A 19,739-nucleotide genomic window follows, 5' to 3' on the forward strand; every position below is an offset into this window, starting at 1 on the left:
CAAGTTTCCCTTTGTTATAATTTCCCTTAAGTCTTGTTTGGGTTTAAACTATTTTTCTGAACTTCTTGAATTTTTTCTGTAAATTTATATTTTTCACTGAACTTGGAGGAAGTTTTTCATCCACTATATCTTCAAATATTTTTCTTCACCAATCAGTTTTTCCCTTTACTTCATAGATGCCAATGACACCACTACTAGATTTTTTGAATCTTGTTATTATATTATCTACAGGCCCTAGAGGCTCTGGCCATTTTCATTTTCAATCTTTTCTCTCTGTTATTTAGACTAGATAATTTTTATTGATCAATTTTTAAGTTTACTGACTTTTTCCTCTGTCATCTCTATTCCTTATTGAACCTGTCTAGGAAATTTTAAAATTTCAAGTGTTGTGTTGTATTTTTTACTTTTTAAATGTCCAGTTTTTCCCTTTTCTTTTTCCAGTAGTTTCTATTGCTCTGTTAAGAACGTCTTTATTTCCATTAATTTCAAGAGCGTTCACCTTTGCCTCATGGAGCATGGTTATCATAGCTACAATAAAGTCTTTTTTCCAACATCTGGATCATCTTAGATTTGACATTTGTTGATTGTTGTTTCAGTGGAAAACAGGTCCAATTTTTTTTTTATTATTTGTATGTTGAGCAATTTTGCATTGCATCTTCAAAGTTTTGAGTAATGTGTTGTGAGAGTCTGCATCTTGTTAAAATCTTCTGAAGTTTTTTTGTTTACTAATAAATCCAGTTGGGTTCAGACCATGAGTTCTATCTTGCCTTCCACTGGTGCTAGTTCGAATGTCAGTTCAGGGTTTAAAGTCTTTATTGTTATCTGAAACAGTCAGGGATTAGTATAAGACTTTGGAGCTGATTCACAGACAATTCTTAAAGCTTTTGCTATGCTGCTTTGGATGTGTTCCATTCAGGCAGAGTTTGGGGGTACACCAGGGAATTTTCTTCTTCACTTCTTATTTATTTATTTATTTTTTATTTTTATTATTTCTTTTGGAGGTGTTGAGACCTGCTTGATTTATTCCGATTATTTAATACACAATTATACAATTGTGATCCCAAACTGTGCAAAGTGAGCCTTCAACTGCAGCTGAGGAGAGGGCAGGAATGATATACCTGGGGACGGTGGTGAGTCAGGAATGACGGGAAGGTGGCCATGATCAGGGAAGCCTCCTTCCCAGGGCCAGGGACAGGGGAGTGGCCTGAGGAGCAGGACCCAAGGGTAGCCCAGGGCCGGGGAAGTGGGCAGAGACCTCCCGTTGGCCTAGGTCAAGAGCTCAGAAGTGCCACATGGCTGAGGGGTTAGTGGCCCAGGAAGTGCCAGAGGCAGGGCCAGGAGAGCACCATTTCCTCGGGGGCTGGGGGCAGGGAGGTGCCCTACAGGAGAAGCCAGGAGGGGCCTCTTGTCCCTGTGGTGGGGGCCGGGCTGGAGCAGGCTGCAGCAAGAAAGACCTGAGGCATGCGCAGGGCCTGAGAGCCTGGCTGGCTGGGCTGGTGTGTGTGTGTTGGGGGGTTCCCAGGGCACTCTGGCCCAGGGAGCAGTTCTGATTCTGCAGGCGATGCCCAGCAAGAGGCTGCAGACCCCTCAGAACTTCCCCTCCTTTCTCCCTGGAAAGGAGCTGGGGAACCTATAGTGCAAGTCTGTGGACCACTCAGTTATGGAGGGAGGCTGTGCCTGAAAGTGGACACTGCGGTATGCCCCTTCCACCACCTTGGCCTCCACTGCTGTCCTCAGTACAGCCGCTTCTCCTAAGAGTGCAGGCCATGGACGCCACCCTTGATCTGGGCCGACATGGTTTGCTTCTCAAAATTCAGTTCTCCTGAGTACATCATGGACTGAAGGACAGACAGGCTGCGGCCCAATATCCTGGCAGCCAGGCTGGATGCCCGCTATGAGGTAGGACACGAACTTATGAATGGATCCTTTGTCCTGGATGGAGCCCAAGACACCCTGCGCGATCTTCACCTTATTCCCCTTGCTGACGTATCATTTCTGGCTGCTGCTGCTCTTCTCCATGGCATCCAGTGAGCCCATGCCCTGGTACTTCTTGAGCCGCACCCCATCTGAGAAGAAATACTCGCCGGGGTCCTACGTGGTGGTGGCCAGCAGGGAGCCCATCATCACTGTGGAGGCTCCAAGGGCCAGGGCCTTAACCACGTGCCCCACGGTCTAGATGCCGCCATCGGCTATGATGGACACACCAAAGCACAGGGCATACTCGGCCACCTTGTACAATGCAGTGCCCTGGGGCCCACCGCAGGCCATCACTTCCTGGGTGATGCAGATGGAGCCGCAGCCCATACCTATGCGCAGCCCGTCCACCGCAGCGTCAATCAGGTTTTTGGCCTGGGCGGCTGTCATCCCAATCACCTGGAGGTGGGGGTACTTCTGTTTGATGTAATGCACCGTGGCAATCTGATACACCGAGTTCCCTTGGGACAAGTCCAAGACTACGACGTCTACCCCCGCCTGGGTGAGCAAGTCCAGGCGGTATTTGTCATCCTCAGGGGTGCCCACAGCTGCCCCACGCAGTAGCTGCTTGTGGGAATCCTTGGAGGCCAGAGGGTAGTCTCTGTTCTTCTTCAGGTCGGTGCAGGTGATCATGGCCACCAGCTCATCGGATCATTGACGAAAGACAGCTTCCCTTTCTTGCTATGCTGCAGGATCTCATTTGCCTCTTTCAACATCAGGCCTGCTGGAGCCAACACTGAGGAGGGTGGTGTGGTCCTCCTCAGCAAGAAAGTTGATGTCTCTGGAGGTGACGATGCCCACCAGCTTGCTGCCTATGGTGCCCGTCTCAGTGATGGGGATGCCAGAGAAGCCATGCCGCATCTTGGCCTCCAACACATCACCCACAGTGTGCGAGGGGGTCAGCACCACCGGGTCCGTGATGAAGCCCTGTTCAAACTTCTTGACCTTCCGCACCTCCTTGGCCTGGAACTCTGGGGTGCAGTTGTGGTGAATGAAACCAATACCTCCCATCAGAGCCATTGCAATGGCTATGTCGGCCTGTCACAGTGTCCGTGGGGGAGGAAATGAGCGGAGTCTTCAGCGTGATCTTCCGGGTCAGGGCTGAGGTCAGGTCCGCCTCATCAGCTATGAAGTCTGTGAATCCTGGGAGAATCAGGAAGTCGTCGTAGGTGAGGCAGTCGGCGCTGGCAAAGAGCTGCTGCGCGGGGAGCCAGTTATCGGGCACATAGTCGGTGCCGCCCCTGATCAGGTAGTCCGTCATGCTGCCGCGAAACCCTGCGACATCCGCGCGCAGCCGCCTGCTGCTGCTGCCCCCGCGCTGCGGCCATGCTGCCGCTGCGAGCCGGGCGGGGCCGCTTCTCTCTCTCTCTCTCTTTTTTTTTTTCTTTTTAAATAATTTTCTCTCTCAGAGTCTGTCTCTCAGGGTCCTCTTTTCCCAGTCCCTCTGGCCAGGAGTCTTCTAAGTTTTCCACACAGTTGCACAGTTCTGTGTTATTGGATATACCCGGGGGATGAAGTAATGAAAGAAAAGACTGAAAATAAAAATGGGAATTCCTTCCACAGTCTTTACACACAGAGGCCCCTAGAGGCCCATTTTCCTGGTTCCTCTGTCCAGAAAGATGGATTTCTAGGGCTTACATTCATGCTGCTGCCTCTACATGCACTGAAGCTGGTCAATGAAGCTGGCCTTGGGGCAGAGGGAGAGAAAAACACATTGGGATTTCACCTTCAACCTCCACTTTCCACCTCTCAGGGTCCCAGTTTCTTAGTACTCTGACAGAAAACCAGGGTTTTCTCAAAGTTTTTGCTGTCTGTTCCCATCACATTGTTCCCTGATTTGGCCCATCCTTAAGCCAAGACCAGATGATCTTGAAGGAAAATATCCTAGGAAACTCACTATTGGCATACTGGTCATTTTTTGAGTTTTGATGTCGCTCCTCAACCTCCTTGCTATTATTTTGTTTCGGAATCATCCTCAGGTAAGTGTTTTAGTATTTTGTCCTGAATTTTTAATTGTAATGAGTGAAAGAGAAAGATTCTAGCAGGCTTACTTCATCTTGGCTGGCACCTGAAGTCCATCCATAGGATATATTTTTAAATTGTTCATGTACTTGGCCACAAAGAAAGTCTCTAAGAGTTGGTAACACACAAAACATGTTCTCTGAAAACATTGCAATAAAATTAGTAAAGAATGCCAAAATGTGCTTTTCCGAATATTTTATAGCTTAAAGCAGAAATCAGATTGCAATTTATAAACTATTTAGATCTGAAAAACAAGAGAAGCACAACTGATAGACTACAACAAAAAGTATACTCACAGGAAAAATGTTAACCTTAAATGTCTGTACTAGGACAAAACAATTGGAAAATTATTAGCTAAATATTTAACTGAGCAATGATTAAGTGAAGAAGTTAGAAAAATAGTAAATCTTAAGAAGGTAGAAAGAAGTAATAATAACAGAAATAAAGGAATTTAGAAAACCAAGCCACAATAGGGAGATTCAGCATAGAATAAAGTTTGTTTTTTAGAAAAGATAAAAAACTTACACAAACCTCTAACAACATTAATCAAGAAAAACCAAAAATAGTCTACATTTTCATATTAAATTATTGAATAGTAAATTATGTATTAATATTTAATATAAAAATATAGATGTAATGGAATATTTCCTAGAGAATTAAACCTTATTAAAATCGATCCAGGAAGATATTTTAAAACTGAATACACTTACATCCATTAGGGAAATGCAATCAGTTGGGAAAATAAAAAGGAGTCCTAGTTATTGACATGCTTTTATCAAACTATCAGGCAATACGTAACTATTAACTTTTAAATTTTTCTAGAGAACAGATAATGTGTTCCTGGTCAGACACTTACTAACTGTATTCCTAGGTAAATGCTTAACACTCTCACTGGCTTAATTAGGATAATGACCAGAGTACCTACCACATAGAACTGTGATGATTAAATGGCAAAAACAAAAGAGATATGCTAAGAGCACTGACTGACATATAGTAAGTGCAAAATAAGTGTTAGCTATTCTTTTCTTCTTATTATTATGGTACCAAAACCAGAAAAGGTTAGTGCTTAAAAGAAATTCTTTAGACCAGTATTACTTAATATAGATGTAAAGATACTAAGTAACACATTAGCTAACTAGATTCAGCAAAATATTAAAAATGCATCATGGCCAAATAATATGTATTCTAGGATTTCAAGGATGACTTAATATTAAAAATTTTGTTAATCTTAATATATTACTATGTTAACAGATTAAAAGAGAAAAAGTTTATGATTGATTCAGTAGATTCAGAAAACTCATGCAATAAATGCAGCACCCATTTGTAATGAAAACTTTTCACAAACTGGGAAAAGGAAGGTACTTGCTCACTTACCAAAGTGTATCTAAACCTGTAGCAAATACTATTAATGGTGAAACCTTACAAGATCTCCATTAAAGTAGGGAGCTATGCAAGAATTTTATAGGAGTTCGTAATTAATGCAGTAAGACAAGGATAACAAGTAAGAAGAATGAGAATTGGCATGGGAGAAACTAAATTTCATTATTTGCATATGATGTAATTATGTATATATAAAATCTGAGATGGCTTATAAATGAATTATTGGCACTAATAAGAGGTCAGCATGTTCCTGGATATAGAATGAATATATAAAAATCATTGACATTCTTATTTATTCCCTATATGCTTAAACTGTTACAGAAACTAAGATCAAATTCATAAGAGGTACAAAAACTAAAAGGTACCTGAATATTTACTGAAGGATATGAGAGAATGCCAAAAAACTGGATATTAATTGATGGGAAAAGTTAATACTGTTAGGAAATAAATTCTCCTCCAATTAATTTACAAACCCTATATAGTATCAGTTAAACTAACTCTAAAATTTCTTTGGAATGTGAAAGGATCAGGAATATCTAAGCCTTTTTTTTAGTGAGAAAGGAGAAGACATTCTTTGCAGATATGAGGAGAAACTGTAAAAGTGTAAGTATTCAGCTGTCTTACTATTTGTACAGGCTAGACAAACCAACTAATGGAAAGGAACAAAGAACCCAGACAAAGACTTATGCATATGTAAGAACTCAGTTCAGGCATTATTAATTGGTTGTGAAATAACAAAGTTTTAAATAAATGGTTCCAGGTAAAATTAATTATCCTTATTAAAAATTTGCAATTCATAACACATTAAAATAAATTCCAGATAGATTAAAGACCCCAATATGAGAAAAAATTTATAAAGATTTTGGAAGGAAATATAGGAGAATCACATATTTTAAAGAGGATGATAATAAGCACAAAAGTTTAAAGAAAATTATTGATAACCTTGACCTTATTAAAATGTAAGGCTCTGTAATACAGGAGACATTGAAGAAAGTTAATAAAAAATAATAATTGAAGAAAAGCAATTTATGACGTTTGTAACAACAAAATATTGGTATCTTACTATAGTAAAAAAGTCTTCTGAAAATGAATATAAGCATAAGACAAATTACCTAACTGAAAATTGGGTAAATCAAACAAACTGAAGATTCTATTTAAAAAAGAAGCTGGAAAGATAGACAGCTGAAAAGATCTTTAATCTGAATAGTTGAGGGAGCATGCTAATGGATTTGAAAATGGAATACCATTTCACAGTCACCACTGGCAGACCTCTGACAACTAAAACGTCGACAATACTTAGCTTTTGGAGGTGTGGAGAAACAAGCTCTCATATGCTCTCAGTGGCTGTGTAAATGAGTCAACTACTTTGGAAAAACACTTAGATAATATCAAGGAAAGTGGACTGTGAGTATAGTAGATATCCCAGAAATTCCATTTCTAGGTGGATGCTCTACTGTTTTTTATGTGCATAAGAAAACATGTACAAGATTATTCCTTGTAGCACTGTTGTTAAAAGAAAAAAGTGGGATACCATCTAAATATTTATCAAGAAAGAAACAAGTAATTTATCATATATTTAGTAGACTACCATCTGGCAGTTAAATTAAATGAACTAGATCTACATGAATCATCTTTGGTACATTTTGAAACCATAAGGTTAAATTAAAAATTAATTGCCAGGCATGGTGGCTCACACCTGTAATCCCAGCACTTTAGGAGGCCAAGGCAGGTGGATCGCTTGAGCTTAGGAGTTCAAGACCAGCCTGGGCAACATGGCAAAACCCCATCTCTCCAAAAATTAGCTGGGCAGGGTGGCGCACCCCTGTAGTCCCAGCAACTTGAAAGGCTGAGGTGGGAGGATCACTTCAGTCTGAGAGGGGGAGGTTGCAGTGAGCTGAGATTGCTCTACTACATTTCTGCCTGCGTGCCAGAGTAAGAGACTGTCTCAGATAAATAAATAAATAATAAATAAATAATTGGGCCGAGCGCAGTGGCTCACGACTGTAATCCCAGCACTTTGGGAGGCCAAGGTGGGTGGATCAGGAGGTCAGGAGATCTAGACCAACCTGGCCAATATGGTGAAACCCCGTCTCTACTAAAAATACAAAAATTCGCCCTGAGTGGTGGCGTGTGCCTGTAGTCCCAGCTATACTCAGGAGGCTGAGGCGGAAGAATCGCTTGAACCCAGGAGGCGGAGGTTGCAGTGAGCTGAGTTCATGCCACTGCACTCCAGCCTGGGCGACAGAGCAAGACTCGGTCTCAAAATAAATAAATAAATAAATACATACATACATACATAATTGAGCTGCAAATATGTATTCATACAAAATTAAAAATAATGTAAAATGATTCCTATAATTTTGCTGGCAAAATTTTATGTGGTTAAGAGCAATAAAAATCAACATAGGAAGGATATATATTCTATCGAGATATTAATCATGTCTGGAAACGGAGGGTGTCAGGTAGAAGGGAATGAGTAATTCAGGTAAAAGGACTAGAGAAGGAAGTGAGAGGGGTTTTCTCTGTATCTGTCATTTTTCTTTTTTTTTCCCAAAAGTTTCTGAAACAGTTAAAAATTTAACATTTTTTAGATCTGAGTGTTAGGTACAAACTTATTTTTAAGTGTTTGAAAGATTTCATAATAAAGAAGAAAAAATGTAAAAATTAATTAACAAAAGAAGATACAACCACTTTGTTTTCTGTGCTGAGTGATGCACAGCTGTATTGGCTGTAGTGTTGAGCAGCAGAGCTTCACATTTCTGCTGACTTTACATGTGAACTTGAGCTGAGCCTCACAGAGGGAATGTGTAAGCTAGAGAAGTCAAAGTCAAGAGGGAGAGAGGATACTGCTATGACTAATTATTATTATTATTTTAAGTAACCACAAGATTATCCACACAAACTCATGTAACTATGAGCCTTTTATAGAAATTGACATATTTTGCTATTATTTTTTATACTTCTTTTCTCCTCTGGAAAAGGGGGGAAAGTGCTGGCAAAGTAAAGTTTGGTGAAACTGCTGTTCTTTGTTTCCTTGAAAGCCATATGCTAGCATATAGTCATAGGGAATAGTGTTGCTTTCTCTTCCAGAATTAGTTTATCTGGTATAATTTAAGGTATATAACCCAGGGAACATATTGGTGCTGGATTTAAATCTTTGGATTTTTCTAGTTTCTCTGTATATGTTTGATTTTGAGAGTTTTAAAAATTTAGTGCTAAATTGCATTGACTAGTACTACAGAATAAAATTGTAGTTTTTGCCAGGTAATCTCTTCCTCCCACCCCTAATACCACACATGCATACACACACAGTTTTTTTCCCATCAATTTTTGTTGCATTTTAAATAAAATTAAGGGATTATTTATAAAAATTAGGCACATATTAGCAATTCAGATCAATTTAAAAAGTTGAAATGGTTTTGTATGTCAACCTGAAGCAATGACTTTAAAAAGTAATATAATTTCATTATATGACAATATTAAATAATTCCTCTGGTTGTGAGAAGCAAAGTTAGGGTTAGCTGGTGCAGTGATTAATTTTATGTGTCAACTTGGTTAGGCTGTAGTGTCCCATTATGTGGTCAAACACCAATCTAGACATTTTTGTGAAGGTGGTTTTTAGATGTGATTGATAGCTAATTAATAGACTTTGGGTACAGCAGATTACCCTCCAAAATGTGGGTGGGCCTCATCCCATTAGTTGAGGCCTTAAGAACAAAGACAGTGATTTTCCAAAGAAGGAATTCTTCTCTATAATATAGAAATCCTGCCTGGGTTTCCAGCCTGTGGTCCTGTGGAACTTGGACTCAGGACTGCAACAGCAACTCTCATTCGACTATACGTGCTGGCCTGGCCTATGTAGTTTGTACGTGCCAGCCCTCACAATTGCATGTTACAATTCCTTAAAATCAATCAATTTCTCTGCCTCTTTCTCTGCCTCTCTATCTCTATCTATAGACATGAATATATCTATAAAGATATCTAGATAGCTATTTATCCTATCTTATCTATCTATCATCTTTCTATCACCTATCTCTATCTATCTATCTATCTATCTATCTATCTATCTATCTATCTATCTATATCTAGATACATAGACACCTCTCTCAATCCCTTCCCCCTTCTTCATTTTATTAGTTCAGTTTTTTTTCTAGAGAACCCTAATATAGTTGGCTATTAGCCAGTTGAAATTAGTCATCATCAGTATTAGATTTTTCCAACTATTGTAACATATTCTAGGTATACAAACTTTTGCAAACACCTATGACAGTTTTTCTTCCCACAGGACAAATGAGCTTATTTGGGAATATGCAGGGTGTTGCAATCTAGGATATGCAGCCTATGATGCATCATAGGTATACCCCTGGGGTAGGAACTTCTTCGTCTCATGTAAAGATGACTATGTAAGCAGCCTTGAAAAAAGGTGCATAGGTCACTGAAACTCATTATAGGAGTTGGTGTTTGTTCATGGGTAGAAACAACCTTGCCAGGTAAGTATTCTTGTGCAGATGGCTAATCTGGAACACTGGTCTTGAGGAATGCCATGTGATAAGTCCTGTTACAGTCATGTGTGCATAATAGCTCCTCCTTATGCTTCCTGCCTCCATTTTGTTAGGGTTTTGACATGAGTCACTCCATTTTGATACTGGCAACTTTCACAGGCTCAACTCTGAATACAACGAGGACAAGAGGGGATTTAGGGCCAAGGAGCAGAGTTAAGGGGTCAGTGGATGAAAAAATTACTAAGAGGTGACATTAAAGTTAGGGAGATTCTTGTTGAATTGCCTTAACAGGATTCTTGGCAAAGGCAGGCTAAGATGATAAGATAGCAAGGATAGGGAATAAGGAATTTAACCACATTTAGACGGCGATCAGGGTGGGAGGATGACAGCAGAATTTCTTGCTAAGACTGGGCTGGGAAGGCTTAGTTGACAAGAGGCCTCAGAGAAGCCTGACTAAAGTTTGGTCAAGGAGAGTTTCTGTCACATTTAATGGGTCTGAGATCTCAAATGCACGTCTTAATGCAACCTGTAACCCAGGTAACCATATTTAAGTGGACACTTCTGATTTTGATAAGGGTTAAATACTTATGAGGTCTCTGTTAGGCCTGCCCCATATCTTTTACACCTGCTTCTTTCCTGTAAAGGCCAAGAGGGAGATTGGGCATCAACACAGCCCTAGGGCTGCCCTGGCTTTATTTCAAGAGTTTACAGCTATTCTGGAAGCTGAGGTAGGAGGAATGCTTGAGCCCAGGAGTTTGAGGCTTCAGTGAGTTATGATTATGCCACTGCACTCCAGCCAGAGTGAGAGATTGAGACCCTGTCTCACAGAAACAAAGAGTTTAAATTGCTGTAAGATTGGTGAACAGACCATCTCCATACGTGGTTGGGTCACATGCTCATTCAGCCCCACTCGGTGCTTCTGAACAAAGCTGCCCTTTCCACTCTTATCTCAGCCTCCTAGTATGAATGGCATCCCCTTCCCCTCTCTGCACACACCCTTTTCTGCACACTCCCCTCTCTGCACACTCCCCTCTCTGCACACACTCCTCTCTCTGTCCCATGCAGGCCCAGCGCCCCCCAATTAAGGGGCTATGCTCCCTGTTCATCCGGGCTTGCATCAGAACCATGTCTAGGACAGTTTTTTTAATGCCAAAAATAATTGAACTCCATTTACGGCACTGACTGGAAAACAGTTGCCCATATTTGGGATTCGAAGTACACAAGCAATTACTAACGCCTAGACTGAATCCCTCTATGTGACCCTCTCCCTGTAGCTTTCCACCCTTCCATGACAAAGAGACAAGAGGAAGCCCTGTGTCCAGAAGGATGTCCTGGTGAAACAGCTGTAAGGAACAGGAACATGTAGTAGCATGTATAAGGCTGTTTTACAGAGTTGGAAGGGACAAGAAAACAGAAAAGTGAAGCGGAAAGTGAGTCCTTGGTATGCTGGCTATTAATCATCAACATAGTAAGAGAGAAACAATTTTCTAATTTCTGTAGGACCTGGACATAAAATAGTGTGGCTTCCACACATGGATAATTCAATCTGTGTGTACTGAAGTAGGAGTGAAAAAAAAGAAAGCTTTGAACCCACTGTAGGAAGAAGGAGGATGTTAACAACTCCACCCTTTCCTCTGCCTTGTGCTTAAATCTTTCTTTGTGTTCTATTGTGTGATCTGGACACTTGGGAGATAATTTTTTCTGGAAAGAGCAACTGGGCAACTAGAATGTTTGCAGAGGGGAGTTGAATAATTAAAAATTTTAAATGGCAGACACATGATTTACTTGGGTTTCCTACACACCCAGTTCTGCCAATAAATAGATGAGATCAGTTTTTTCATCTGTGAAATAAAGGAGTTGGATGTCTTCACTAGATGATCTCTACAGTCTCTTACAGTTTAAAAATTTTATGAAAAAGTAAAATGCAGAGAAAAAACAGTTAAGGTCTCTTACTCTCCTCTCAACCACAGGACAACCAGGTTTACAATTTGGTTTATTATTTCCATATGAAGAGTGGTTGTTACACAAAGAAAGAAAAGAAAGAGAATTTATTTTATAAACTAAATATACAAAGCACTACTGAAAATAGACTGTGGATACAGCCAGAAGTTTAATAACAGTACTTACCTGTAGTTTTAGCTTTTCAGAAATAAAGCGAAGTTCATATTAGTTAAAAGAGATCCTGGCAAAATATTTAATCTTAATAGGGGGAATATAAAAAGTTATTTTAAGTTGTATTTTCTGCCTGTACTATTTTTGAAAACTATTTTTTATGAGCCTTATTTTTTCATCTTTAAAATCGGAATAACAATTTCCTAATTAGGTGCTTATAAACATTAAATGAAGTATTATATGTGAAACTCCCTAATATATCCAATGCCGACTCTTAGCTTGCAAACATTCTCTTCCTTTCTTCTTTGGTATTGCTCATCTTGATGATCTATTCATCAGTATTTCTCTGTTGCCAAGCTGGAAAGCTAGAGTGACCATAAATCAATGCTTTTCAAACTGTGGTGATATAATCAATTTACGCAGACAGTATTTTAAAATAGAAACAATGGAATATAAAAAATTAGAGACCATTGCAAATACAACGGTACAAATTGCAATAATACTAAGCAAAGATATGTATTATTTTGTAAAACTTTGTTGATTAGAGAGTATGTTTGTGTATGGGGAGGCTCAGGAGAGGGAAGGTCTTTTGATATAGAATGCATTTCTTTTTACAGTAAAAATGTCGTCTGAGAAACACTATCCTAAGATATGCTGTGTCTCTCCTATGTGCAATTGTTCTCCAGCTTATCAATTTTATCTTCTGAAGAAACTTCGGATCTTTACCCCTTTCTATTTTCTGCCATTGCCTTAGTGTAAGCCTTAATAATTTTAGTTTCCTTGTCGTCAAAATTTTTCACACTCCAAACTGCTACTCGAGATCTTCCTAATAAAATTTATATCTAAACAGGTGAACCCTACAGACAGACGCTATTTTTAGAGTGAAGGGTCAGTGTTTAATAACCATTACATGTATTGGGGGTGTTTCAAATATACGGTTGTAAAATAAACTAATATCTCAGACACTTCTTGAGTTCCCCTCATGCCTTTCTCAGTTTCAAATTTTGTTCCAGCCTCAGCCTGTGGAACAGTTAGATCCTTGCAGAATTCTGTAACTCTCTGCAGTGACAATTACTCATCTCTAGTATGCATCCTTTGCTGACTGTCTAGCTGACTTAGTGCAGGGCAGTAGAGCAGAATCATCTTTTAAAACTGTAAGTCAGACCACTTCGCTCCTCAGTCTAAGCCCTTCGGTGGCTTCACTTGCTGGCTCCACTCCAAATCCACATCCTCACACTGGCCTACAGGTCCCCATATGATTGATTCCTCATGTCCTTATGTCTTATTTATCAGCTCACCCTTCTCTTTCCCTTGATCACCGTTCCTCTGTTGGAGATAATGCCTCTGTATTTTTATTATTATTGTTCTGGATTGAGACTTGAAAATGAACCCATGTCTGACTCAGGATGAGAATATTTGGGAAGGGAGAAGCTGAGTCTTGCTTACTTCTGTGATTTTTCACAGTCAATGGATGGGGTCAGGCCCACTTAGTGGGTTAGGATTCAGTCAACTGATTGAGTATGTGTTCAGCTGTCTGGGAGTGGGATAGGTGGTGTAAACGTATCCTCATGAGCATCCTCCCAAACCCATCTGATAACAAACTGATTCCTGCAAACCGCATACCTTATCAGATAGGACTCTGTTGTCAATAAAGTTAATGTAGAATAGTGGCTGAAGGCTGAAGAATAGAATAACAGCTAAGGGAAAAGTAAAGATACAGAACTCAACAAGCAGTGAAATGTTTATTTACAACCCTGGGTTGGGGGTACATAATCTCATCAACTCAGATAATTAAATGTTATGAAAAAAGATCATAATAACAATAACTGATCTGAGGTAACAAATATACTCCTGACTATGGTTAGAATGTTTGTGTCCCCTCCAAAAGTCATGTTGAAGCTTAATCCCCAATACAGCAGTATTAAGAGGTGTGGCCTTTAGGAGATGATTAGGTCATAAGGGCTCCACCCTCATGAATGGATTAATGTTTTTTAAAAGGGCTGAAGGGAACTAACTCAATCCCTTTTCTGCCCTTTCATCCCTTCTGCCATGTGAGGACGTAGTGTTCATGGCTCCATCTTGGAAGGAGAGACTGAGCCCTCACTAGACAACAAACCTGCTCATGCCTTGTTATTAAATTTCCCAGCCTTCAGAACTGCGAAAAATAAATTTCCATTATTTATAACATACCTGTTCTTAGGTATTTTCTTATAGCAGATCAAATTAAAACATTCTTTTTGGTCAGGTAAGCATAAATACTTAAATTTAGGGAAAAAAAGTAAATATTTGATGAAGTAGAATAATCTCATAAAATCAATATTTTGGGTTTTTTTTTTTTTTTTGGACAAAGTCTCTTTCTGTCACCAGGCTAGAGTGCTGTGGCATGATCCCGGCTCCCTGCAAACTCCGACTCCCTGGTTCAGGCGATTCTCCTGCCTTAGCCTCCTGAGTAGCTGGAATTACAGCTGGAATCACCATGCCCAGCTAATTTTTGTATTTTTAGTAGAGATGGGGTTTCACCATGTTGGCCAGGATGGTCTCAATCTCCTGACCTTGTGATTTGCCTGCCTTGGCCTTCCAAAGTGCTGGTATTACAGGTGTGAGCCACTGTACCCGGCCCAATATTTTGGTTTTTAAACATTTAAAATAATCATGATAATGAGAATCTATACTGATTAAGATATATGAACTATTTGACAGAGTGTAAAAGATCAGAAACACAGACATATTGGCTCTGTCAAAATTTTAATTTGAAATGTGTAGGAGAATTTTATTTGTATATTTAAGAAAAACTGATTTACATTTATATTTGGTTCATTCAATTTACGAAAGTTGCTTAAACACCTAGCAGTAATTTGCTAGTTAGGCATTTGTATTAGTTTTCTAAGTTGCTGTAATAAAGGACCACAGACGGAAGGCTTAAACAACAGAAATGGATTGTTTCACAGTTCTGGAGTCTAGAAGTCTGCAGTCAAGTTGTTGGCCAGGTTGGTTCCTTCTGAGGGCTCTCATGGAGACTCTGTCCCATGCCCTTCTCCAGGCTTCTGGTGGTTTTCTGGCAATCTTTAGTCTTGTCCCTTGACTTGAAGAAGCATCACCTTGATCTCTGCCTCCTTCTTCACACGTTATTATTTCTGTATGTGTTCCTGTGTCCAAATTTTCCAGTTTTATAAAGACACATCAGTCAAATTGGATTAGAAACCCACCCACTCCTATATAATCTTACTTTAACTAAGTGTGTCTGCAGTGACCCTACGTCCAAATAATTTTGCATTCTGAGGTGCTGGGAATTTCTTCAACATATGAATTTCTGAAAGACACAGTTAAACCCATAATAGTGTTTGTTTGACTTATCAGAAGTTTGAATCGTTTTAAAAAATCAGCTATTTTTTTAAATGATAGAGTAAATTTTGCCATTTTTATTTTAAATAGACTTAAGATTTTAAAAATTTGCATTGACATGAAAAATTTAGATTAAAGATTTTTAATTTTAATTAATGAGGTAAAACACAGGCAGTTTTGTGTTTTTTTGGTTTTTGTTTTTGTGTTTGGACAAAAGATATATTATGCAAACACTAACTTAAAAAACTTCCAGTGGTGGACACATGACTGAGGCCTGACTGTTCAGCAGAATCCACTTCCCTAGCTGCAATGATTCGTTCAGTGAGGCACATGTGACCCAAGTCAGTCCAACCAGAGCTAATCTCAGGACTTCCTTGTGCAACTGAAAATAGGGGTTCCCTGTTCCCCTGGGGTTGCTGTCATTAAGAATAGTGTAAACCTGGAGCTGTCAGGGGTCACTATTCAGAATCTGAAAATGAGGCTAATACAAAGGAAAGTGGACTCAAGAAATGAAGAGACTCATGGCCCAAGTGATGTAAGTTGAGCTCCCAGACACTGCTAACACAGGCAATTTTAAATTTTGCTTTCCACACTTACATCTTCCTAGGTATTAAACACTCAACCAACACTGTTTACCAGTCCAAGGTCAGCTGAACATAATACTGTATGCCACGACCTTGGTCACCAATAATTCTTTATGTGCATTCAACTTGTACCTAAAAAATAAAAAACATACTGAGACTTCTAGTTCATTCCATAAAAATCTGAATCAATGTGGGTTTATTTTTATTTCGTGACTAGAACTAATTGAAATAGAAAACTAAGCTAGCTTGAAGTGGCTTATTTTCACATTGGAGACTGGAATATAGAAATTAGACTTTTGCCATTATTATGACATTAAAGCAATCTGGAGTAAATTGCCTTCAAATATACAGAGTTGATAAAGTCAATTTTGGCACAGTTTGTATTATAGGACTGATATAATCATTCTGATTTCCCTGTGTACCAAATACACAAAGATTAATGTTTTTCAAAAACATTATACAATGTTATACAATTTCAAAAAGTTATACAATTTTTCTTTAATAGTTTTTATATATTAGGTATAAAAATTTATTACACCATTTTATAAGTAGATGTTCTAAAGAGACGAATCTGATTAAAAACCATATGCCTAGGTTGATGTTATCCCATTAGTACTTTTAAATGTATTTTGTGTCTGTTAAATAGAAAATAGAATACTCATATGGTTTTGCTCTGTGTCCCCACCCAAATATCATCTTGTAGCTCCCGTAATTCCCACATGTGAATTGTGGGAGGGACCTGGTGGGAGATAATTGAATCATGGATCTTTCCTGTGCTGTTTTTGTGATAAGTCACATGAGATCTGATGGTTTTAAAAGTGGGAGTTTCCCTGCACAAGCTCTCTGCCTTGTCTGCTGCCATGTAAGACTTGCCTTTCACCTTCTGCCACGATTGTGAGGTCTCCACAACCACAGGGAACTGTAAGTCCATTAAACCTCTTTCTTTTGTAAATTGCCCAGTCTCGGATATGTCTTTATCAACAGTGTAAAAATGGACTAATACAAATACTAAAACTTGGTTCCTAGTCTCTTCACTTATTACCTTCTTTAACCATTAAAAAAAATATAACTTCAGTACTGAATTAGTGCAATATTTTCACACTAAAAAACCCCCACAAACCCTTCATCTTTAATGTTATTTGCAAGAGCAAAAGAAAATTAAGTACCACAACTAAACAAGTCAAATAAATTTTAATATTAAATATACCTTTTCAAACCTTTTGAAGTGTATTATTGGATATACTTTTTCAAATGTTAGTATTAAATATAGCATTTTAAACCTGACTTACTCCTCCCTGGTATATATGTGTGTGTAAAAGGAGGTAACACTGCCATTGTGTCTCTTTCTCTGTCTCCTCAGGCTGAAAATCAATGAATTTGTTTAAATTGTTGACTAGATTATTATGGCAGCAGAGGTTTATTTTTATTTTTAAAAAATTTATGTGATTGGAATGTGAAGACGTCTATCTCCTTATTTGGAAAGATAAGAATAGGGTCCAGGGGGAACATGTGTTAGTTTGAGTTGTTGATCTGAGGAACTATAAAGGTTTGTGTTCGTCAGAATCAATGTTGCGGTAGTTATGGAAACAGGGAGATCACTGTGAGCTAAGGCCTTAGGGAACTCTGTAAACCAGAAGGAAGAACACAGAAGCTGAGGGCTAACGTGTTCTGAATTTGATGCATGTAATTCTAAGAATTTTTTTAGAGTGCACTACAATAATCGTTACTACATGTAAACATATAGCACAACTTCCATGGGAAGAGAGTTTTGCCAGATTTTAAAATCTATTGTTTTTTGAACTACATTTTTTTTTACCTTCTATTGCATTCAACATTTTGCTCAGTAAAATTTGCTGTACAAGTGTCCCTGAAATGCAGTTCTTATTTGCTCAGCAAACTAGATTCTTGCAATCTATCCTGGAGAAGTCATTCGAGAAAGTTGGCCAGTTCCATACTTTTCAAGGTTTATTTTAAATCTCTATTGCGTGGCAAAGCAAGACAGAACCCCCTACACCCCCCGAAAACCCTACATCATTAAGAATAAAATTCAGTCTTTCTAGGTCCTTCCTGATCTCAATTAATTTCTTAAGAATTGATTTAGTTCCCATTTTAGGGCTCTTCTCCCTAGAATTTTGTAGCCCAAGGCCCCATTGTAAGATGTTTGAAACTTATAAATAAAAATATTGTTCAATTCAGGGTTAGGATGAATGATTCTGGGTCAGCTAGGTAACTATCTTTAAGTATGTCTTCAGTGAAATCTAAAGATGGTAATGAAAATATTGATCTATTATCTTTATAATAATTTGAAATTTTTAGGACTGAAGGTTTAAAAAATTCTAAAAATTTAAACATAAAAAATAAAAGCATGAGTAGACCATAAATGAAAATTTCATTATCATAAAACTTGCTACTGTCTGAGGCAGAATTCTTTTGAGTCTCTTTATCACAGCAATTTTGTTGGGTATAATTATCTCGATTTAACATAGGAGAGGCCTGAAACCCAGAAAAGTGATAGAATCTGACAAAAACATATAGTTGCTTGAAGGGGAGACTCAGAGTTTGAATTTATTTCTCATTTCAAAGTCCCATTGTTTCCAATACAACATGCTGTTCCCCAGAGACAATATTTAAAATGAGAAAATATCATTCCTTATCCCCTTGATATACTGAGTGACCATTTGTTTAAAAAGAGAACGTATCCAAAGCAAACATAATGAAGATTTCTTTCCTTTTCTGTTTTTTCAGCTGATGTAAAGTTTTGATGTTAAAACTAAAAATGAAGTTTTCATTAAATAGAAAACTTCTCAGCAGAGAATTAAGTGTTTTTCAAGGAAATCTAATTTATTTATTTTTCAGCAATAGGGTACACTAACTAAAAATGTGGTCTTCATTTTTTCCTGTTTCTTTTTTTTTTTTGTGCCAAACATTGATGAGGTGAAGTTAAAAGAAGAAAATAAAAGAAACCAAACCAAATCAAACCAAACCATAAACAATTGTTTTTTATACACTGCAAGCAATGGAGGGCGTACAAACTTAAATTTACCTTTCAGGTAAATCTTAACTTTGGATAACTTTCCTGAGCCCATTCAGTTAAAGAAATGTACAGGAATTACACAACCATTGCTTGTGGAAAATCTTGAAGTAACTCAGATACATATATATTTTACTTTAAAAGCTAAGAGTTCTGATGACTCTTGCTGAGTGCATATTTCAGGCAGTTTCTTTAGGAAAATATATATTTTTGTATGTTTTTAATTATTTTTTATGTGTGCGGAGATGAGGGTGTTATTTTTCAGTCTGAGGGATAGGTTAGAATTAGTCTGAGTTAGAATAGCTGAAGTTCTTTATAGAATTTTTGTAACAATTATTATCCAATATGCAAAAACAGGTTTATTGCCCCACTACTCTGCTTATATAAATTTCTTAGACAAAATATTTACATTGCATAGCTAAACCCATTTTGTGGCTAATATATCGAAGATGGACAGCCACTCTACTGGTCAACACATTAGGTTAGACATAAACAGAAAAGTGAGTATGAGGTCAACTCTAGACCATGGAATTTCTCAGAACAGCTGGTGATAAGCTGTACCTCCATTTGTAGCTGAGATTTTATGCCACAGTCTTCCCAAGCAGTATTCATATTCTAGGTGGGTCTTTTAGTACCTAGTAAGTAACTGTTAGAGGTATCCTTGCTCTAGGGGTAGGACAAATGGCTTGTGTCAGGGATAAATCCTTAGATTTGGACTCAGATACTGCTGGCTAGCTGCATATCTTTTAATAAAGCACTGCATTTCTAAATATGTCCAGACTTAAGTGTACT

General features: G+C 38.4%; 1 long non-coding RNA gene and 1 pseudogene across 3 annotated transcripts in view; one reads left to right on the forward strand and one right to left on the reverse strand.

The window, feature by feature from the left end:
* On the reverse strand, window positions 997–3,325 carry IMPDH1P7 (inosine monophosphate dehydrogenase 1 pseudogene 7; annotated as a pseudogene).
* Window positions 3,131–19,739, forward strand: part of CALCRL-AS1 (CALCRL and TFPI antisense RNA 1) — a 544,253-nt gene continuing 527,644 nt past the window's right edge. For 2 of the 3 annotated variants that reach the window (NR_187179.1, NR_187178.1), the window contains exon 1: window positions 3,131–3,223. This is a non-coding gene — a long non-coding RNA (CALCRL and TFPI antisense RNA 1). Of the gene's footprint in view, window positions 3,224–3,364; window positions 3,954–19,739 lie in introns of those variants that run through there. The other variant, NR_187180.1, reaches the window with a different exon arrangement.

The sequence above is a fragment of the Homo sapiens genome, chromosome 2 (assembly GCF_000001405.40).
Source record: "Homo sapiens chromosome 2, GRCh38.p14 Primary Assembly".
Lineage (NCBI taxonomy): Eukaryota > Metazoa > Chordata > Mammalia > Primates > Hominidae > Homo > Homo sapiens.